We start from the raw sequence: 24,580 nt of genomic DNA, 5'->3' as shown, positions 1-24,580 counted from the left end.
TTGGATTAAGTTTCTAATAATAACAGAATAGCCACAGCTATATCATTCAAATCTAGAAATTCTGAAGAAATATACCTTATGAAAAATATGTATCTATGGAAAAGATCCTGCTTTATGAGCTACAATTACACAAACCCTAGTCGATATTCACATAAGATGGCATCCTATGTTGGTGATGCTGGAAGCGTGGTGATGGGAGGGTGTTCTTTGATCTTTCATCCATTTTCCTCATAGATGTGGGTGCCCTGAATGTATCAGATCTCTGTCTGCCTTCTGCAGCTGTAGCAGCATGCTAGATGATGGAATAGCAGTGCCCTGGGCAGCAGAAGAAAGTCCTGAGACAGAACACCCAGGACAGCATACTTACCATGGCTTCCCTGTCTCACAAGATTCATCCACATCGAACTGCCCAAGAACAAATGTACCACGGGCTAATCTGGAGGGGTGAGTGTTTATGTTTCACAGAAGGAATGAATACTTCCTCTGTGCACGAATACACTTCCTCTGTGCACGGTGAAGTGGACCTTCAAATAAGGATTTTAAACATCTCTTTTTGCAGGAAATCCTTAGTAGCAATTAGAATTTTTAACCTTTGAGAGACTGCACAGGGCAGAAAATTACTGCTCTTGTCTAGATCATTGAAGCATCAGTGAACTTCTGCTGATGTCAGGAATGTGAGCTGATGGGTAGAAATGGCGAAGAACTCTCATAATCATAGGAGGAGAGAGCTTAAGTTTGTGCTTCAGTAAGCAAGCACATTAGATAGACTTATCTTTTTGGGTCAGGTACCTTTCAATGACACGCTCTACCCTCAAAATAAATAAATAAGTAAATGAATGAATGAATAAATAAATAAATAAAGTGCTTCCCTTGTAAAGAAAAATAGTCCACAACCTCTAACAGAAAAATGAGGGCAATTCACTTGACCAACAAGATTCACCACTCACTGAGGACTAACAGCCTGTCCTCAACCACCTGTGTGTATCTCTCATTGACTTCCTTGGGTGAGATGGGAGTGCTGACCTTTATTATTACTGCTGCGATATTTATTCTTGAATAACAGATTTTCTTGTATGAGTCACACACAGGTTCTTCTTTTCTTCCCCACAGTAACACCAGAATTATTCATTTGCATCTCTGTTGCCATGGGAAAATGAACATTGTGAAAAGCAGTCAGGATTATGAGTTTAAGGCAAAATCTAGTAGTAAGGAACAAAGAAAACTCAGGCTGAAAATATACACACAGCACAACTAATATTACAGAAAAATGACAACTTAAAAATAACAAGAAAAAGAAAATTAAATTCCAATGAATCTTTGACCTTTTGAGTAAAATACTCTGAGTTTCAAAACTATTTTTCAGGGTTTTATTTTTTTTTTCTAGTAGAAAAACACCCTGACGCTCAGGAATAAAGTAGACATGCTATTTTCACCCCCTGGTACATGGCTGGCAGACAGAAAGGCCATTGTGTGCCAAATAGCAGATAATTGGATCCTATCTACACTGGGAACCTGCTAGGTCATTAGCAGACTTTTCATTTGGAAATAGACATGGCTATTTAAGAGGAGCAGGGAACAAGAATAAAATACCAACTCTTCTGTGTTTAGCTTAGTTGGGCAAGAGGGTTTGTGTTTGGATCCAGGTCATTTTATTCCCAATTCCTCAAGTACCATAGTACTGTGCACAGAAAACACATTTCAACGGAGAGGGATAAGATGAAAGGTAGAGAGACATAAAGACTTAGAGAGACGGGGACATGTTGAGATATAAAGAAGTGAATTGAGAGCATAAAAGGAGAAAAAAGGAAAGAAGGAGGAAGAAATGGGAAGAGAGGAAAGCATAAGAAAAAGAAATAAGGATTAAAGAATAAGAAGTACACAGAGAAATGCATGAAAGAAAATTTGAATGATAAAGAGAACACAAGGAAAAAAATCTGCCTTCAATAAGAAACTTCACCTAAAAAGGTCAGGGCAAATTAGGGAAAGGAGAACCATGGTGAGAGGGAAATAAGTGCTGTGGAACACTATTATGGATACTTAGATTCATTATATTGTCCATATAAATGAGGTTTCCTTATCTAGACACAAGCTTTATTTGGGAGCAGATGGCAATGCTGCTGGGTGACATTTATATGTAAGAAATTTGTTTCAATATTGCCCTCTCCTTTTATATTTAAGCTCAATGAACTTGAGGATTTTCTGACATCTTGATCCTTGCTTCTCATTGGACTTCATTCATTTGAGTTTGCAATTTCTAGATCACTAGGCTGTAATTTGTAACCTGCCTATTGCTGAGAGGGGGTGATGCTGTACAGGAAAGAGAAGGCAGAGCTGGAAGGTGGGAGACCCAGAATCAGTCCCAGCAGTACCTCTAAGTAAATAGGACATTAGGAGAGGCCAAGAGCAAACAGGGCCCAATTTCTTTTTTCTTTCTTTCCCTTTCCTTCCTTCCTTCCTTCTTTCCTTCCTTCCTTCCTTCCTTCCTTCCTTCATTCCTCCCACCTTCCCTCCTCCCGCCTCCCTCCCTTCCTCCCTCCCTCCCCCTTTCCGTTCCTTTCCTTTCCTTTCCTTCCTGTTCCTGTTCCTGTTCTTTTCGAAAGAGGGTTTTACTCTGTAGCTCAGGCTGGAGTGCAGTGGTGCAATCACAGTTCACTGCAGCCTCAGCCTCCCCTCCTGGGTTCATGCTCTCCTCCCACCTCAGCCTCCCAAGTAGCTGGGCCTACAGGTGTGTGCCACCACACCCAGCTACTGTTTTGTAATTTTTGTAGAAAGGAGGTTTCATTATGTTGTCTAGGCTGGTCTCAAACTCCTGGGCCCAAGCAATTCACCTACCTCGGCATTCTAAAGTGCTGGGATTACGGGCGTGAACAACCATGCCCTGACAGGGCTCAATTTCTACCCCCAGGCTATACACACTTGTATAGTCTGTGGACACTACTGCTCTAGGATCAGAGAAAAAGATTAGCAGTGATTTTTGCTCCATGTAATTAGAATAGTTGTGTCTGATGGTTAAGGAAAATATATAGTGGAGGAGGAATAACTGGTCTGTTTAGGGTCAAGTAAGATAAAGTTGCCCCATTCAATAGCTGACAGGGAGGTTGAAATGAAATTTTGATCTTAGGTAAAAGTGCATATAAAAGAAAAGATTGTTAATATTATTGCTTTGTGATGTTTATTAGTTGAAATTAATATTTCTGCAACATATAGCACTTTCTATGAAATCTATCCTATTGAAGCATTTACCACTTTCTACTCTGGATACTAGTTATTGATGGCCATGCTTCACCTCGTCTGCTATACTGTAGGGCCCTCCAGTGAACAATCTGTGTCTGATGAATCTTTTACCTCTCAAAGCATTTAAAAAGAGCTTCATGCACAGTAAGAACTTAGTTTACATTTGGTGTATAAATGACAGGAACAATGAAGGAAGTCTTTCTAAGTCAGAATGTGAAGACTCAAGCTTTGGGTTTTAATATTGAGGTTATAGAGTTGAGAACACAGTGTTCAAGCCTTAGAAGTTGAATAGCTAATATTCTGAGCCATTATTTATAATTATTAATTATTCATTGCCTATTATGTGCTAGGAACTTTACAGCAGTTACCTTTTCTTCTTGCATTAGCACTGCAAGGTAGCAGTCACTACCTGCATTTTACAGATGAGGAAACAGGAGATTAAGTAATTTTTCCAAAGTGATAAAATGAGTAAACGGCAGAGGCAAAGGAGCTGAAGTCAAACTCAGGGTTCCTGGTCCATTATTATTAGACCCCAGCATCCCACTGCTGATCACACGAGGAGCTATGAAACTTTCCTGTTAAATCTACTCTCCAGAGAGAGCTCTCCAGGCCTAGATGTCCAGAAATGGCCATTGGCAGGAAAAAAATGACAGACAAACTTGGCTATAACTGTGGGCTTTGGGTAAATTACTAAGCTCCTATGGTATTTATTTCCTCCTCTGCACATAATGCTGCTCTGTAAGTAACAATACTTCTTTCACATCCATTGGGTGTCTTTTTATATAAGGTTGAGATGAGATGTTTGAAAATCTTGTAGAACTGTGCTTCCCACATGATAGGCATCTAATAAATGCCATTCTAACCTGAATTTCTGCAGAAGTAAAATGGAATTTATGGCACCAAAATGATAATGAGGAGAAAGTTTCTTTCCCTGAGCCTTTCGGAGCATGTATTTGACTGTTCCTCCACCTCTGTCCTTACCTCAGGCAAACCTTATCTAATCATCGTATTCATTTACTGATGCAGATAGCTGCCCATTGAGAGGATCCTCTTGAAAAGGACCCTCATAGATTGTGAGCTCTAGGTGAACTCTTCCACACTGTTCAGACTTACTCCCCTCTGTAAGGCAGTCCACATCCCCAAGAATTAGAAAATAGTGCTTTTTAGAAAAGATCACCTTGGCCACATATCCACTCTCACTCTTACTACTATTACCATTATTACTGATAGTAGCCAACATTGATCAAACACTTAAAATGAATCGAACATTGTCTCAAATCCTTTATGTTTTATTAAATCATCATAACAAACTTACGGGGTATGTGTTATTCTTATCATTTTACAAATACGGAACCTGAGGTTTACATCCTTTGTCAAAGCATTGCATACTCTCAGCGTAGCAAGGTTAGATTGACTCCCAGAAAAGCTGCTCCATAAAATGAATATAAGAATATGCAGGACGGGCGCGGTGGCTCACGCCTATAATTCCAGCACTTTGGGAGGCCGAGGTGGGCGGATCACCTGAAGTCGGGAGTTCGAGACCAGCCTGGTCAACATAGGGAAACACTGTCTCTACTAAAAACACAAAATTAGCCTGGCGTGGTGGCACATGGCTGTAATTCCAGCTACTCTGGAGGCTGAGGCAGGAGAATTGCTTGAACCTGGGAGGTGGAGGTTGCAGTGAGCTGAGACAGTGCATTGCACTCCAGCCTGGGAAACAGAGCGAGACTCCGTCTCAAAAAAAAAAAAAAAAAAAAAAGAATCTAGTCATGAGGCCAGATCAAAAGAGATTCATGCACATTACCTTTGTCATTAAATAATACCCCAGGGGAGAGAAGTGTGGGCACTCAGATAAATACGGTTCAGTGAATGTCACTTAATTACCATAAAGGTAAAAATAATGAATTGAAACATAGTGAGTCTCATTATCAATTAAAAAAAGAAAACGAACAAAAATAAGATCCCATTACATTCTTTTTCAAATTTGAAAATTTAAATAATTTTATCCAATGATGGGACTATTATGAAATAAGCATCCTCATATTCTGCCAGAAAAAATAGAAATTTGTATATTTGTACAGGCAAAATGTATCAAGGGCTTTGTAAATGTTTAGACTTTGATTCAGCAATCTCCCATCTTGGAATTTATCTAAAGTAAATAAGCTGTGCAAATATTTATATGTAAGGATGTACAGCACAATATATTTAGTAATAACACAAAGATATAGCTACCAAGAACACAGGCTATCCAGAGTATCTGGGCTCAAATCCAAACTCTATAGTCACTAGCTCTTTGACCTTGGGGAAATTTATCTCCCTGAGCTTTAGTTTCTGCTTTAGTAAAATAAAACTGCACGTAAAGCATGCCACAGAGTATCTGACCTACAATACATACCTGATAAATATTAGCTGTTTTATTTTCTTCTCTGTTACTACTATTATTACTTACCAACCTAAAGGTACAACAATGTAGAATGATTATATTATAGATGATTATCGATTTCATGGAATCATGTTCTTAGAGATTAATAATATAAACATAGTAACAATCAACTAAGTGACAAATGTACAACACAAAAGTACAGGAACCATCTCAAATTTTAGTATAGAGTATATAGATATATGTGTATGTATAACTACTTGTAGAAAGACAAAAAGAATAACATCAAAATGTCAATACTAGATCGTTCTTGGGATTGTAAGTGACTTTTCACATTTAGTTTCCAAGTGTTCTACAGTAAATATGTGTTACTGTTATAATCAGAAATAAATCTTAACAAAATATGATTTTAAAGCAGTTTTTAGGACAGATTAACTTATCTACATACACACACACACACACACACACACACGAGATAATGGGAATTATTTTGAAAGTCACAACCATGGATGTCTGTGGGTTTTTGACTGCCCGTACCTATTTTTATTTTCTAAGAGCAGCCTCAGTTGCATTTAGAAAAGTATTGTCCTCATTGAACATAGACTGGCAGGGCTGCGTTCCAATCACCTCCCTCTCTTAGTCAAGGAAGAGTTATTGTTACCCAAGCCAGGCTAACTGGATTCTCCTTTTTTTTTTTTTTTTTTTGAGGTTAAGTACCGTAGCTCAAGAAAGCCATTCTCCTTTTATAAAGTCTTGAGTAGAGCAGCAAATAGACTGAAAATATTTGGAATTCATTTATCCTAGTACGGCTCACTTATTCACTCTGTATCTGATATAAACTATACCTATAGTTATTTTTCCTCTTCCACCAAGACGGCTTGGTTCCTGTTAGTTTTTAAGCTTGGTTCTGTAGCCTTCCTGTAATTCTGTGGCTTTCCACTATTGTTCCAAAACATTTCCTTTTGCTTAAGATAGTCAGAGTTGTCTTCTATTGCTCCTTAGAAGACAACATATACACTACATTGTTGAAATTTACCCTTGTCTTTTTAAATCCTATGTTCTAGTTGTTAAAAATAAGCATATAAAACTTTCTCACCTTCTGTGGGCATGGACCACCCAACATTTCAGCAAAGGTGATAGCTAAAAGATAGAGATATTTTTGCCATCCATGCATCCCAGCAACAGGAGACGCTCCAAATGACTTTGTTATAAATTGACAAAATTAAATATTTATTGAAAGCACAGACTCTGGAGTTTGACCATCTGGGGTTAAGCCCTACTTCTACCACTGCAAGCTGAAAGGCCTTGGGAATGTTACTATTGGGGATAATAATGGTTCTTACAGAGTTGATGTAAAGATGAATAAAGTCAATATATGTAAAGCATTTCAAGTACAATCTTGGCGTATGCAAAGTTCTACTTGTGTTAGCTATTTTTTTCTATACATTGTAGATCATGACAGCATGATTGTTAGCAATTATTTAAAATTTAACTGATTTATTTTTCAAATAGTTAAGTGCCATATGAGTACTTGTTATAGAAAACAAATCTAGAAATATTTGTTGGTGCTTTTTGATCTAAGATCGCTGAAAATGTTACAGAAACAAGGGTCACTCTAAGAACGCACCAAATTTCCAATGAAATAACATTTTGTGCATTAAAGTTAAGATCATTAGCCATGGTAGATGGTTATAAAGATTTTCTAAGCATATTCTCATTTTAATTGATGACATTACGTGCAGAGTGTATACAAGACGAATAAAACTCAAAATGAGAACTTTTGAAAATAGATTTTAACTTAAGTTTACAAATAAATGTAATAGAAAATCTAAGTAAGTATAATTTTGCATGACTATTGGGAGAGCTTGGGAAATTTGATCTTCAGACTATCAATGCAGCGAAAAAAAGAGAAAAAAAATAGATGTACAGAATTATCTTCTGATTTATCAATAACTATAAATTTATGTCAGTTTCTGAGGCTAAAAACTGAGTATGACAAAGTTCTGGGTTATGAAGAATTCAGACCCTATTGCCAGGCACATGATAGGCATTTGTGAATAAAATTATGCTTGTTAAGTGAATGTACTAAACTAATAAAAACATTTCTAAAAATCAGATTTTAAAGTGTGCCAGATTCTGTCTTCTAAAATATAGTCTGTCTAAGACTATAGGCTTACCTAAGATTCAATTTATAGGCTTAAATCTGTGCCCCTCCTGCTTTATCCTCATCAATCTTGACAGAGCATTAAGGAGCCCGGGGACTCCAGGTGACTGATGCCTAAGAGTTACGTTTACTCTCCAGGTGTGGCATTTGGTGAAACTGGAGTGAGTCCATGCCCTAATCCATGTAAATGGTTGCCCAATCTATGTTAGTAAATTTCTACCTTGACCTCTGATTATACTTAATTTCCCCTGAAGAAGGCAGTTTTTTTTTCTCCAAACTTCAGCATGCTTCTCTAATGGTTTCCAAAAGTTGAATCAGGTTTCCTGTGCCCCCTGCTCTTTAGCGGCATCTCTTCCAACTTAGTGAAGCATGTAGCAGCAAGATAATATTGCAAGTCAGGCAAGAATATTTCTTGTGCACAGACACTTCGGCTGCATTGGCTGCCATGGATTATGAATTTGGCCCCTAGAGAGATTTCTCTAATCCCTCACTAAGTCCAAGTCCAAATTCAGAGTGGATTTGGTTTGAGGAGCAATCTCATACACAGATTAGCTTCCTAATCTAATTATTTTTCTGGTTTATTAGTCTGTTTTTTCAGATCGTCTCTTTGAGTGTAGTTAATAAACTCTTCATTATTCATAAGTCTACTTACTGGACTTTTTAAATGTAAATTTTATTAATACAGTGATAATTGATGTTAATAATGCCTCTGAAATATCATCAAACATATTTTTCAAAGATTCAATTTTCTAAAATAGAGATCTTAAACTTGCTTGTATATTCTATTTTGAACATAACTCTTCAACAATTACTATATATGATGGGAAGGGAACTAGTTTAAAGGTCAAGACTTCTGTGTTTGGGTCTAGCTATGACTGTGAGTAAAAAACATGATCTTTGGCTGGGGGCGGTGGCTCATGCCTGTATTCCCAGCACTTTGGGAGGCCGAGGCAGGGGGATGACCTGAGGTCGGGAGTTCGAGACCAGCCTGACCAACATGGAGAAACCACATCACTACTAAAAATACAAAATTAGCCAGACGTAGTGGTGCATGCCTGTAATCCCAGCTACTCGGGAGGCTGAGGCAGGAGAATCACTTGAACCCGGGAGGCGGAGGTTGTGGTGAGCCAAGATCGTGCCATTGCACTCCAGCCTGGGCAATAAGAATGAAACTCCATCTCAAAAAAAAAGAAAAAAGAAAAAAGAAAAAAAAATCTTGAATGGTTCACTGAAACTTTCTTTCTGGGTCTCATTTCCTTTTTTTTTTTTTTTTAGTGAATAGGTTATATTTTCTTTATCCCAACATTCCTTATGGGTCTAAAAGATAATGTTATATCTGTAACTATCTATGTCTATATATATATACACACACACACAAATGTTTATTTACTTCTTAAACATATCCTCATTTTTTTGCTTTTTTTTGAGATAACTATATTTATCAAAACAATACTTTCTCTACAAATAGCCTGATGATTTTTGTACATCTGGGTTTGTTTAACTTAGACTATAATCTAAATATCTTGATTTAGTTAGAAGTGTATATAGGTGGATTATGTCACAAAAGAATGATGGAGATTGTTTCTTTTTTTTCTTTTTCTTTTTTTTTTTTGAGACGGAGTCTAGCTCTGTCTCCAGGCTGGAGTTCAGTGGTGCGACCTCAGCTCACTGAAACCTCCGCCTCCCAGGTTAAGTGATTATCCTGCCTCAGCCTTCTGAGTAGCTGGAACTACAGGTGCACCACCACGCCCAGCTAATTTTTGTATTTTTAGTAGTAGTTTCACCATGTTGGCTAGGATGGTCTTGATCTCTTGACTTCGTTATCCGTCTGCCTCAGCCTCCCAAAGTGCTGGGATTACAGGTGTGAGCCACCGCGCCTGGCCAGGAGATTGTTTCTTAAATTTTGATTAAAATTTTGGTCTTTTGGAAAATATGTGGGAAATAAATATTATATCACAATAAAAAAATATTGCAGTTTCTTTAGTAGTAAAATAACATAAGTAGAGGAGGATGGTCATCTAGTGAATGAAAACACCATTTAGCAATGGTATGCTATGGTGTTCCCTTGGTAATTGTAGATAAAGAAAAATGATGAAATTTATTCTAAGCTCTGCAGTGACTATTGGCTTTTAAATTAATTTTTAAAAATAAAATTTGTAAAACAAATAGAAAATGTTTTACAAATGTCAGAGAAGAATTTGTAATGAAAATATTTTAAACAATGTCAGAGAAGAATTTGTAATGAAAATATTTTAAACCAAGCCTTAAAAATGTAATCTTACACAAGATAGCACAGTGATGCTACTTTCAGGAATGAGAGATGGATACTATTTTTAGTTTTATCTTTATAAAATAATTATTTATTCAGCTTTCCCATATGGCCATCTGCACTACTTTGCCATGGTAGAATGGAATAATCTTAGTAACAGCTTATTTCTCATGTAATAGCAACTCCTCCATCTTTCATGAAAACATCAAGAGGCACAGGACGAAGATCAATGGAGTCGTAAGAAGATTTTGGATTTGTGTGTGTGGCCTCTGACAAAACTGTTTCCTTTGTTTCTGATACTCCTTGAAACCTCGCAGTTCAAAACCTACTTTTTTGGTTTAAGGTAATTTATTTCTTGTTTGGATTCAAATACTCCCAGAAAAAGTACCATCACTACACCAATAATCCCTCTCCCAACTTTGGCAGGAGGGTTTTAAGTGAAAAGCTTTTGAGGTAGAGAGTATATGGAAAAGGTACTCTTGAAAAGTTGAAGGGCAGAGAGATCAGAGAAAGAGGGATTTGGAAGCAGTCGCAAGGCATTATTATCCTGCTCAATAGTAAGCAATGACTAATTGTTAGACAAAGCTCTAGTAAACTTTTTAAAACTATTGTATGCCATTTTATTTTGTTCCTTTGTACCAACTGTTATATGTCACCTTTATAAAAGGTCTTACATGGCACTACAGATACAAAGAGGAAAATAAAATCATACCAAACTTTTAGTAGTTTAGTGACAGGAGCTGACAATTAGTTATATACCAATGTAATAAGTGCTTTAATAGTGGTACATTCAGAAGAGAACTACTTCTGCTTGGTTTGAAGGAGGAGTTAAGTGTATGGATAAACGACATTAAAAAACAAAACAAAACACACAGGAGTTTAGTAATAGCAAAGGCCCAGATATATGGAAATGCAAATCACTCCAAGGAATAATGAACAGTTCAGTGTGGACAGAGTGGAAGTTGCTAGGGAGGGAAATTGGGGAAAAAATGAGGCAAGGAAAGTAAGTTATAACAGATGCTTTTCATAGGCAAATAAAACTATTTATTAATTGAGCTCTTTGTGAGAAGCACTTTGGGGAACTCATGATGCTATATAACTAGCCCCAAGAGCTTATAGGCCAATAGAAAAGACAAGACAGAAACACGCACACAAACTAAGCAGCAGTAAATCGTGACAGGACCTACATTGTTTTTATTACATATACATTTCTCTGGGAGCCAGTCCAATGCTAAGCACAAAGTGGAAACTTACTGAATGAATATTGAATGCATAGATAAATAAAAGTATTTGCCCTGTTAACTTGTTGAAAACAAAATTTATGAGTAATAACATCTGCATAGAATCTCTGATTTCTATAAGCATTTAATCTCTTTAATTATATCTTAGAACACCGAAGCAACTAGTTGAAAGGTAATTTGCACACAAAGAAATTATTAGCCATCAAGCACGCAAAAAATCCTGGTTACTTGATTAAATCCATTCATTTTTCAAATAATAAATTTAGAGTAAATGAGTTTTATGTTTAATATTTTGAATTTTTTAAGTTAAAATTTCTCTAATGTGTTTCAAAAATCTCATTACAGCATGCCTTTTATGTTTTTTTTTCTTCAAACAAATCAATGTTTTTTCAGCTTTTAACACTATCAAAAACAAAACATGTATCTGCCCTGGCTATCCGGAAATATACAACGGAATATGATGGAATTTCAGGGGTTTAAGCTTAATAGATTAAAGTATAATTTTATTGGCTTTGCATAAGTCACATTCATATTTGTTCATTTCTTTTCATAGACTTCTGTCAAACAAGAAGTTTTAATAGATAAGAAGTCAAATGGACTAGAAGTTCTAGCTGACCTAATTTTCAGCATTGAATAAGGAACCTACTTAAAGTAAATTTCATAGATAGGTGCAAAGCTCAAACACTCAGAGTATCTCATTTGGAGATAGATCATTGAAACTGAAAACAAAGACAAAAACAAACAAACAAACAAACAAACAAACAAAACAACCTGAAAATCTGAAGTACATGTTTAAGCCCTGAAGCCTGGGATACAGCATCTGGGTATTCTTAATGATCCCAATTCGTGGTGCTTTGTGGAAACTGTAATTTTGCAAAGCAGATGACACCTGTTAGCAGCTTCTTCATAGCTTGAATGTGGTGGCCTGTTCACACAAGCACAGGCACACCATCAAACAGCATGTGATTTGTAGTTTCATTTTTGGCGAGAGACACACTTTTCACAGAATGACAGGTCACAGAGTTGCAAACCAGCTTCATTCTTTGATCTCCGTTAAGAGACAAACAGTGTAGCAAATATAGCTTTGCTCGTTTGTCTTTTGCTTATTAGCTGTGTAATTTGACTAACAGCTTAAAAGAAAGCTTAGTTATACCACTCTACTATGTACTAAAAAATAATTATCTACTGTACTTTGATTACTGTACTTTGATTCCCTCGCATGCATAACAGAACAGTAGTTGTGACATTAACTGCTACTTTCTAACAGCAAGTAGAACTTTGATAGAGCAAAAATATGTTAGGGAGATCACTACACAGGTCTGTTAATTTACATATGAATATCTTGCAATAAACTTGTGGAATCTTGAAAGTGGATTTTGAAGGAATACTTGATCCTCGAATGGGCCTAAGAAGCCTGGGAACTTTGAATGCCTTTCATAATGCTTGTCATTTTTATCCTATGGAAAGGCTTCTGCTAACTGAAAGAATAAATTTAATACATTGGGTGCATGTGGGAAAATGAAAGTTACACGCACACACACACACACGCACACACTACTGCCATTAGAAAGAGGAGAGAATAGTATAAAACCTCAGCTATAAGAGATCTCGGCCCCCAGTCAAACCCTTCGTATTTGCCTTTGGAAAGACAGATTTCTTGAAAATCAGGGTTTTTGTTGGCTATATGAAGAGTCAAACATGATGTTCCTTGATAACACCATATGGAGAAAAACTTGTTTAGAAACAAAAAGTTCTAGAAGTATGTAGGTAATATTAAAGTGATGAGAAGTTATTCAGTTAAGTTATATACAGCTAATAAGTAAATAATGTATAAGTACAAAGCAGCACTTGCATGTAAACATAAAGAACTTTCCCTCTTAAATGTATATACATGCATATGTTAATATAGTAATTTTTGAATAAGGCAATTTTGATGAACATAGTTATATCAATAAGTCTAATATTTTAATATACATGCATATGTTAATATAGTAATTTTTGAATAAAGTGATTTCAGTGAACATAGTTGTATCAATAAGTGTAATATTTTTACAATAAGTCTAATAAGTTTAATTTTAAAAATATTTAAAAATCTTTTATTTTTAATTTTAAGCAGATTTCATAGATACATCCCAAATGATAAATGTACTTCTCCAGGCACCTTCAAAAATTGCATGTTTTTATTTTTTTCACCTTTCCTAAAACTGTTTTGCGATAGAATGGGTGTCAGCTCATCAACAGGTTCATGTTCTTTGCTTTTCAAATTATCTAAACCTCTGGTAGGTGCTATTTCTATGCTTGGTATTTTGCTTTAAAAAAATATGGAGCAAATACTACATTTGAAAACACAAACAAAACAGTCTAAAACTCTTATTCACTATGCTACTTAAATACAACTCAACAAGGGATGATATGTGCTAAGTCATATAATAACTCACTTTTAAAAACTGAATTGTAGCACAGTGCTCAAGTGTTGTACCTTTTCCACTCTATGTCCTAAGTGATATCATGTTCTCATTTATTGAATGCCCCTGATATTCAAGTCACCTAGCTGTAAATTGGCTTCCCTCCCAGCCTAATAACTTGGAGACTTTTTGTAAAACAATTGTAATATTAAAATTCAGACAAGTGGCCCAAAAATGGCCCTGGAGGGCAGGCCTGCAATTTCCTTATTCTCACTTCCCTTATTCCCTCATTTGTTAAGTTTTGCAACATCAATTTTTATACTGTTGCTGTTTTATCCTGGCCAAACAGTTGTTGAATTTTAATGAACTGTCTCCCTTTGACAAATGAGTTATTGTTTGATATATTACATTAGGGATATAGAGAACAAACTACTTATGGATACTAGATATTTGGATAAAATGCATTTACATAATACTAGACTATTAGTGTAATGAGTTCTATTAGTTGCAAAAAATACAATACACTGCAGATTTGGAAACATGCTGAAGAATGATGGACATATATATAATTTATATCCCAGTACCTCAAATAAAATGGCAAATATTTTCACATTATATAACTTAAGATTTTCTCCTCTGTTATGGCGCTAGGGAAATTTTCACTTCCATGACATAGATTTGAAGGTTGGGGAAACATTCTCTGATTACTGACAATTACTCAAATTGGTTGGTGGTTGAATTCATTATTAATGAAATGAAATAGATGTTGATGAGTAACTTAAGATGTTGAAAACACTGGAGCTATGCTCACCTTCTTCCATAATTCTTCTATCCACTGAGGAAAGATGGGTTTATTTCTCTCATCTGAGGGCATAGGGGTTGGGTTAAGAGTATACTTTGCTCTGCGTCTTTCATTCAGACCTGATTTCCAGATAATTTAGCTAGAAATTGTTTAGTAAAGGAAAACATTAAAAACAAACTCCCACATGTCCAGAAGCTAAATGGTCCAAAGGTTCAAACACCCACCCTTTAAAAATATTATTATATGCTAATTATGTGCATGATAATGAGGCACTTCAAGATTCTGAAGTGCCTTTCTAATCATTGTGAAAAGAGGAAATTATATTTGGTGTGACTTTAATGTTAAGTGTAAGTACATTATTTCATTTTAACTATGGTAAGAACTTACTCTAAATACAATGATTTTTTTCCTAACCAAAACACTTAATTACCATTGATAGAAGATAGTGATTAAGGACCCTGTTGCCTCTTAAATAAATTTGGGTCTATTCTCTATTTGCCATGGCTAGTTCTGTAAACATGGGCAAGCAGCCAAGATTCTTTAAGCTTCAGTTTTCTCATCTGGAAAATAGAATATCAAAACCTATATTCTTCTAGTGTTATTTTGAGGATAAATGATTCCCTAAAGGTCTAATACCTGGAAAAAAAGGGTGAGTTTATAAATAGTCTCTGTTGTCATTATTTAGGAGTAGGTAGCAGTTTAGTAGTAGGGTGTGAAGAGCCTGGACTTTGGGAGAAGACAAACTTGGGTTTCAATCCTGGTCTTGCTATTTCTTTGCTTTATGATCTTTGACATTCTTTCTAAGATTTATAACTCTGGGTTTCCTTCACTGTAGCAGGGAACTTGCAGTAGTTCCTGTTAAGTAGGATTATTGTGAGGACTAAATAAGAGGACACCTGTAAAGCACTGGTAGTTAGGCTCTGGAACACAGCAACTGCGCAGTGAATGGAAGCTCCTGGTTTTGTCATCAATGTTATGATTTTTACTATTATTGGTTATTATTTTATACTTTTTCATTTGTCTAAACATTCTAGGTGAGCAGAGTTTACTCAAATTCAAACATATCACATTTCATAAACGTACAAATTACAAAAACCAAAAGCCAGGAAAATTATCCAAAAGACGTTTTTAGAAGGGTATAAAGTGTTACACAAATGTGGTAATATTATCATGAATGTTATTTCATGATTAAAATCATTCAGCAGTTGTTAAGTTTGCCTTTGAAGCGCTACACTCTTTGATAAACATCATTTAGGTATTAACAGTGTAGAACTCAAGTAGCTATTTTTAAGAATTATTATAAAAGTCTTAATTTTACTATTGGGTAAGCACTAGAACATATTCATGCAAAATATGTTGATTGATTCATTCAATAAACATGTAATGAGTACTTACTATGTGCTAAGAGTTGTGCTTAACGTGGAGGCAAAGTTAACTAAAACACAGTCCCTGACATCTAGCAGTCCACCCTCCCAACAAACCCACAATATTACTTCTACCAATGAGAAAAACATGCTGTAGGTTAAAGGTGGCGTGATTCCCCCAGGAACCTCTACTAGTTCAATGACTCCTGTGAGAGTAGAGACCATTTATTTTGTGCCATTCTTCCCTAAGGCACCTAGCATGGTACTTCATAGATTTTAGACAATGTTTCAATAAACATAATTGTGAAGAAAATTAATAATTTCCGATCTCCTGGCCTTGTGAATTATTGTGGATAGTTGATACTCTTCTTTTCAGATTTTGACTTTGCATTTTCTATGTCTAAATCCAACAATCTTTCAGTTTCAGACAGAATCCACGTCATCCATACAGCAAAAGCATTATCTCTCTAAACTCTGAAAGCATTTTGCTTATAATCAGGCATTGGCTAAGCATTTTCATGTGTGTGCCAGGGACAAAACAATGTTAAGGTATTGACATGCTTGGTCTCTCTCATCCTCCACCAGGGGTTTTGGGTTCATCCAGATTATAAGTCAATAATCCAGAGACAAAACCTGGTATTATTTTGCAAAAGAGGAAAGTAAAGCACAGAGAGGTTAATGTATTTTGTTTAATGTCATGTAACTCCTAATATGGGGGTCAAAATACAAATCCAAGGCTGCTCTAAATCCATATGCTCTACAGTAGGACCCCCATATCTGAGGGTTCTTCATCTGTGAATTCTACCAATCATTGATTGAAAATTTCCAAAAAATGAATAAATAAAAAATAATAATACAACAATAAAAATAATACAAATAGAAAATAAAGTATAACAATTATTTACATAGTACTCACATTGTATTCGGTATTATAAATAATCTAGAGATAATATAAAGTATACAGGATGTGTATAGGTTATATGCAAATAATATGCCATTTATATAAGGGACTTGAGCATCATGGCAATGTAGTATCTGGAGGGAGTTCTAGAACTAATCCCACTCAGATATGGAGGGATAATTGTACTTAGCAATTGCTACTTTTTATCTATTATACCTGTATCTTATCTTTCAGTGATGACCATATTCTTGGAGGTCAGGTTCATGCATGATTCATCTCAATTTCCTTTAAAGCACTTAGAACACAGTTTTGCATAGTAAGTGTGCAATAAATATCTTTAGAATGACAAGTATAATTTAAGCATCAGCAATCATAAACCTGCTCTTTTATTGATTTCTGAGCTACCCAGGGAAAGGGAAAAAGATATAGATGGTGGCCAAACTTGGCATTTCTTAAGGGAGATATCACAGAAACCTGTTCTGACTCAGAGTAAAAAACAGTGCTCTGAGAAGTGACACTGGCTGGCAAATATAAACCAGACTCTGATGTATCAGAATGATAAATCTGATATGCTAATCTACATGGTAGGTCTGAAGCAGAGACATTAGGAAAAACTCTTGCAATTTGTTCTGATTAGTCTTTGGTGACATTTTCATACTTCTATACTGTTAACTTTCTACCACGAGAAAGTGAAGACAACTGTACTCACTCTTTTAAGGTAATGGAAATACTAAAAGAAAATAGTAAAAGAGTCAAAGAGGCTGAAACCAAATTTAAAGCTAAAAGCAATGGGACTTTATAGAATGGCAGGTAGGAGACAGGGAGAATAAGACAGTCATGTTTGTTTTAGGAAAACATTATTTGAAATAACACAGGTTTCTCAAACACAAGGCATAAATGCACACATGAAGTAGATGTTGCAGAATGCCTTATTGTTCACAGTCACTTAGGATGTTTTCTAACAGCTATCTTTTCTTTCTGAACATCAACTCTGCTAGTTTTATTAAAATAGTTTATTTCCTGTCTTATCACTCATTTCACTCTCCCTGTAAAATTTATTGGGTACCTATTGTGGTCTAAGCTTACATTTGGAACTGGGTACACAGTGGGAATAAAAGTACCTGCTTCAAGGAGGTCACAGTCTAGTGTTTGAAGACTTAGATATAATTAAGACAGTATAAAATAGTGGAAAAAGTTAGTGCAAAACATAAACATATAAAGAAGATAGAGTATCAGCATTTCAACAGGTTTTTTGTTTTTGTTTTTTTTTGGTTAATTTCTATTTTAGGGTACCTTTACTGACATTTTTTTAAAAAGCAGACTACATTCAAATCACACTATTTCTCTTCTCATCTTTCAATAATTATCTTTAGACACCATTAAATTTGTTACTTTTTCATATGTCTGATCTTTATATTCATTACTTTGTCAACTATATACTAAGATTCATTCATATTTGGCCATTTATTCAACAAAACTTTACTGAGTACATACTATGATTGACTATACTAAAGTATATGGATGCTAATACATCATTCTTGCCTTCAAGAAGTTCATAGTATAAAACCATATGTCCAGTACAGTAGCCACTAGCCAGATGCTGTTATTTAAATTTTAATTTAAATCTAAAATAAATAAAATTGAATTCTCTGTCACATCAGCCACATTTCAAGCGTTCAGTGGCCGTATTTGTCTAGAGGATCTTGTTTTGGACAGTGCAGATATTATATTTCTATAATCACAGAAAGTTCTGTTGGTCACTGCTGATTTAGACAATGTGTGGGATGAGGAGGAGTGAACTGGTGGGATAAAGATTACATGCAATTATTGATATGTAATTATGGCATATGGATAAATTGTTAATACATGTAGAGTGTGACGGAAGGTTGGGAAAGGGAAAGGCTTCACAGAGACAATAACATTTGAGTCTCAAAGGATGGAATCAAGTGGGTTCAAGGAAGCCAAAAACAGCACAACAGGTTGAGAAAGCTGTATAGCAGGGCCTTTGCATACTGTGCAGGCTGTGCAGTTGCAGCTCTATAGGGTCCCATTCCTATATTAGTTGTGTTACAAGGGCCCGGCTGTGCATTATTATTCCTGCCCTTGGATCTGTGGTCATATTTTTTCCTGAATCTGAAGAGTGCAACATCTCCTCAGATCTGTCCACTCTGGACTTCACTCCATGCCTGCTACTTTGGACATCTTTTTAATCTTTCCATCCCCAACTCATGAGACCATGTCTGGGTAGAACTTTTCTACTCTGAATCCTATACAGCAATTTTATCATGAACTACATGATATAGCTTATAAACTAGCTTCCACCGTTTCTCACTGATCCCACTGTTAGCATTTAGTATTGTCTCCTGACTACACCTTAATGCCCAGGAAAGGAGACCAACTTCAGGCTCCCTGTTTCTTCTATTTCTCTCAGAGCAGTGCTGAGCATGTAGGCAGATGCTCTGGAAAATATGGCTGACTGATCGATATAGTGGCTGATGATAACTCACTTTTATTCAGCTTCAACACATATTGAACTTATAACCTGGTAGGCACTCACTTTTTATCTGGGGATTAAAAATATGGACACAAAAGATGATATAGAAAAGTATTAAAATTTTGGGAGAATTAAATGACATTTAATATAAATAGCTTTAGAAGAATGATTTGATGTAATACTGAAGTTAATCTTTATGTAATGTGACATTATTATTTATAATGAGTACTTTTTTATTGATATTTCTATTTACATTAATATTTGGCTGAGTGTTTTTTGACACACTGAATAATTTTTAATCATTTTACTCATTGCCAAGTTTCTTTTATATTAAGAATGTGAGATTTCTGAGTAACAATAATGTTGATGGTCTATTTTTTTCAGTATAAATGACAGTCTTTTAAATATTTCATTGGTTTTACTGCATATTTTTTGTCTAGTGTTATTGACTTTTGTATTTCTTTATTGAGCAATGTTCTAAAGAAAATTCTAAAGATATCCTTCTCTTTTACCAAATGACCATTTATGTGGCTTTCTTATGAGTTGTGGGGCATGATTTATTTGTATTCAGGATTATCTTTTAATTGCTCCCTGAAATTCATGGTTGAGTTTTGCTTTCAACTGAAAAATAATAATTCACATACATTGTCCGTAAGCACAGCCATGCCATCTGTAAATAGGAGGAACATTGACTGCTCTCACCAAGAGACCCTCTTTCATTTCCATTCAATCCAATATCTGAGACACAACTTCCAGTACCTAGGTGAATAATGACTGGAAAAGAAGGAGTATTAACACACTTTCCTGTCTTGTCTACTGCTTTCTGGGAATGAGCTAAAATTTGGTTGGACTTTTTAGGGCAGTTTAAATTATGAATGTTGTGTATGTGTGCACATGTGTGTTCTCAGAAAAGACTTAACATGTAAGTAGTAAATATCTATTTTCCTCATTGCAGTGTTTCTTAGCATTTTCTTCCTCTGTCTTCTTTTTCTCCTTTCCCTTCACCCTAACATTTACTTCTGTTGTGTACTGAAATCTCATCACAGAACACATTGGTTTTGTTTATTAGTGCCATCATAAATTATTTCTTGGTAAAAAGGGATGTTTGAGTAAATAGCTAGTTCGGATTTATTTATTTATTTTTTCTTTTAACCAACAGTTATTAAAACATCTTTCACATCTTGAATATGGGTAGAAGGTATAAAGAAAGATGAGATTCAGATCCTTGCAAAATAGGGGCTCTCTTGGGAGTACTGAAATCAGTAGAGATAAATAGAACTCAATAATGTTTTATATGCTATGGACTCAAAAAGGCGTTGAAATACATAACTCTGCCTGGCAGGAGAAGGCAGGCCCTGTGGAGGAGGGAACTTTTGAGCTTCCAGTAAGAATGGATGCACTGTTGCCTAGTAGACAATGGGGACGGGAGGTGCCAGGCACAGGCAATGGCCTATGACAAGCAGAGGTAAGAAAGAGTGTGGTGAAGCTGGGCGAATGCAGGTGACATGTGGTAGAAGTGGTGGAAATTGAGTCTAGAGAGTCAGGAAAGGGGCCAATTGGGAAGGGCCTTCCATTGTGGAATTTAAATGGCAGGTGATAGGAATTAAAGAACTTTAAGCCTAAGAGTGGCAAAGTCGGTTTTGTATTTTAGAAAGATCTTTCTGAATGTATTAATACTTTAGAGCATGAATAGAAAGGGGTAGAGAGACAGCGGCAATGTGAGATTGTGCCAGGAAGGTGAGATTGTGTCAGAAAGGCTTTAGAGAGAAGATGAGAAGTGAGTCATCTTATAAGCTGAGTAGGAACAGGGAATGGGCTTGCATTTTCTCAGTGTCCATTCTTCTCTTACATGGAGAGTTTTCCATTGTATCATTTACTACTTTCATGAAGTCTGCCTGCACTTAGAATCTTCACTATGAGGTATGTCATATGGTATTTAATGGATTTTAATATTTTTTCACTCAAAGGATGGCCTACAGACCAGTGGCACCCACGTCTCCTGGGGATTTGTTAGAAATGCAAAATCTCAGGCCTTACCCAAGACCTACTGAATCAGTATTTTAGTAACATCCCTAGGTGACTTGCATGCATCATGTACTTTGAGAAGCACAGTTTCAGTTCTCCATGCCCACATTATAGTGTCCTGGGGGTAAAGTGGAAGTTTGTATGCTCTGCTTCTCCTGACTCCCTCATAGCACATAATAAGTTTGGAACATATTGTAGGTGGGCAGCAGGTACTTGCTAGTTGATTTATTTTCAAAATAGGGAGTGTTACTTTAAGCATTTCAACCACTTAAATTTAATAGACATTTATTGCAACTGGGAGACGAGTTAAGAGGTTATTGCAATATTGTCCAAGTGAAAAATGAAGTCCTATATTAAGGCAATGATAGTGGAGATAAAATGGAAGTGGAAATAATAAAAAATATATTTAGAAAAAAAGATTGGTAGGCTCTGCTAATTAAGGATATGAAAAGTGAAGGGGAGAGACAAGTACAGAATGTATGGGTTAGGTGTGTACAATCACCTACTCATTTTGCTGCACAATGAAAATGATAGTCCAAGTTTATTCGGAGACATTCTTTTTTTTTTTTTTTTTTTTTTTTTGACACCAAGTCTCAATCTGTTGCCCAGGCTGGAGTGCAGTGGTGCTGTCATGGCTCACTGCAGCCTTGACCTCCCTGGGCTCATGTGATTTTCCCACCTCAGCATCCCAAGTAGCTGGGACTACAGGCACATGCCGCCATGCTGGCTAAGTTTTGTGTGTACATACATATGTGTGTGTGTGTGTGTGTGTGTGTGTGTATTTTTATTTTTTGGAGAGACAGGGTTTCACCATGTTGCCCAGGCTGGTCTTGAAGTCCTGGGCTCAAGCCATATGCCTGCCTTGGCTTCCCAAAATGCTGGGATTACAGGTTTAAGCCACTGAGCCCGGCTGACTATAGACATTTTTTCTACATTTTTATATCTGAATGTTTCCCAGTCAACAAATATTAATTGAATCAGGGTCTTCTGCAGGGCAGGCTCTCTTCCAGGTGTTTGATATTATTGTCTTTGCTATCAGAAGATTATAGTCTAAAGGAGGAGATCTGAAAAACCTGTGGATTGAGAGAGCATGAAGTAAGTGCTGTGATAGAGGTAACAGCGATGGGCTCTGTGCCCCTGAGGAGGGGTACTTAATTTAAACTTGAGATGGTAGCATCGGACAATGCTTCTCAGAAGACAGAACTCCCACAATGAGTCATTAAAGCCTAATAAATAGCCAGGTAAATGTAGGTATGTTCTGTGGATAAAAAGGCAGGGAGAAAGCAGACTTATGGACATAAAAGACACAGGTAGGTACAGAAGGCCTGAGAGTGTGGACATATATGATTTATTTGATGAATTTATATTATTCCATGTGACAGCAGTATGCAGGGCCAGGAGGAGTTCTGATATTCTGAAAAGAATACAGGACAATACTAAAGTGTCCCGGATGTGGTTATTTCAGATCAAGGTACACAGTATTTTCTGCAACACAGGTCTCTGACATGGAGAACATGGCAATTTAGTGTTACCCCTGCTCTTTGCCTGCAGTGATGTAAATCAAATTTACATCTGATTTCTCTGCATTCCAATCACTTGTTAGAATCTTAATAATCTTTCAAAACTGATTTAAATACCTCTTTTTTTTCCCCCAAAGAAGCAAGTCCATATCCATTCTCTCCTGTCTATAGTTCTATACATTGTTTGTACCTCATTTTTCATGCATTTATCTTTCCTTCTTTAAAGTCTAAGTCTTCTACTTGATTGTGATCTGTGGGAAGTTAAAATGTTTATCTTACTCATTTATATAAGCATTTCAGTTGATCATGCTTGGCACAGAGTAGACACACAAGAACACATCTATCATCTCCAAAGAATTAACTGAATTCCTAATTACTGAAATAAGTAGATAATTAGTGGTAAAAGTGAGAGTTATTATCTTTAAAATAATGAAGTCAAAAGTGAATTGTTTCCCCAAACTTGCTTAATATATATAAGTCATTAATAACTCAGAACTGGCTTTAAGAGAGAAGAGACTAGCAACCTTTGCCCCTCATTAAAGCCATTTGTACCATTAAAATATTTCTAAATTCCACATTTGCTTTTGCAATAATTACATGACATTTCTCTAGAAACAGCTCAAAAACAAAATTGCACTTGTTTATTCACTTTGTTATCTAAATACAATTATTTGTCTAGGTCAGTCTCACACTAAAATTGGACAACACATTGTAGCCTACAGGAAAGAGACAGAAAGTGAGGAAGCTACAAAGCTCCGAATTACTGGCCATTTGTTTTTGTGAGGGAACCATTGAAGGTGATATCTGTGTCCTTGATACTTTACTCCCACCTCCCTAATGTAGGCTAAAAGGCACTCTCACTTTTGTATTGTGTTTAATTTTTCTTTCATTTGTAACTCTTCTGTGACTCTTTCGCCTCCTTAGCAAGTTGAAGGAAGGGACTGTTACAGAAATAGCAGCTAGGGGCATAAATAGTGCTTGACAGCTCTTTTATTTTACTAAAGAAAAATAGACAGTCTTACTGAACCAGCTTGGGATTATATTGCTATAATTCTATCACTGTTTTGCAAAGAATGTCCCTCGAAATCCGGGGCACCATTAACGATTAACTAGGATCACAGATCAAAACGTATCACCATATGAGATCTATAGGAACAGGTCACAGGTTAAAAAGTTTATCAGAGGGTAGTCTTGTGGATGCTGCTTCTTAGAGATGGATTTTAAATTAAAGTTCTATTCTTCAACTATTAAGGGCCTTGTGAGAAAGCTGAGATGACATTTGGATTTCAGTCTTGGGGTAATAACCCCCAGAAATATTCAATTTTTCTAGAGTTCAAAAATACCCATTTATCTAAAATATATACTACTCTGGTTTTGCAACAGACTACATATTGTACTCCTTCCTCTCCAGAGTTAACATGGAATTCTTTAAAAATCTATGAAATAATTTAAGTTAAAAAATACATTTATACCATACTAAACTTTTTCCCTGCCAATATCTAACAAACAATATTAAGGCGGTGTGATCTCAGTCTGGGAGACAAAAAAAATCCGCTTGATATTTGACCTCAGCTATGTATACATCAGAAGCTGTCTGAATACTGATGTTTTTCATTATTCTATTGCAATACTGCAATATATTTTCTATCCTATTGTGCCCTTCACTTTCTCAAACACACATATTCAACTTTACCTATCTACTCTTTTCTTCAACTACTTACATTTCTAAATATTTCTACAGGTACACATGGACCTTGGAATTTCATTTATTTTTTTTAAAT

At 35.9% G+C, this 24,580-nt stretch overlaps 1 protein-coding gene across 36 annotated transcripts in view; it reads right to left on the bottom strand.

The window, feature by feature from the left end:
- Positions 1–24,580, bottom strand: part of NLGN1 (neuroligin 1) — an 898,421-nt gene that overhangs the window by 90,535 nt on the left and 783,306 nt on the right. Inside the window, exon 2 of one of the 36 annotated variants that reach the window (XM_047447713.1) lies at positions 1,024–23,050. The exons of 34 other annotated variants lie outside the window; for them this stretch is intronic. The gene's annotated coding sequence lies outside the window, so the exon portion shown is untranslated. The remainder of the gene's footprint in view (positions 1–1,023; positions 23,051–24,580) is intronic. One more of the 36 variants, XM_047447714.1, reaches the window with a different exon arrangement.

The sequence above is a fragment of the Homo sapiens genome, chromosome 3, assembly GCF_000001405.40.
Source record: "Homo sapiens chromosome 3, GRCh38.p14 Primary Assembly".
Lineage (NCBI taxonomy): Eukaryota > Metazoa > Chordata > Mammalia > Primates > Hominidae > Homo > Homo sapiens.
The sequence above is the reverse complement of the archived record's forward strand: the minus strand, read 5'-3'. Positions and strand labels throughout refer to the sequence as shown.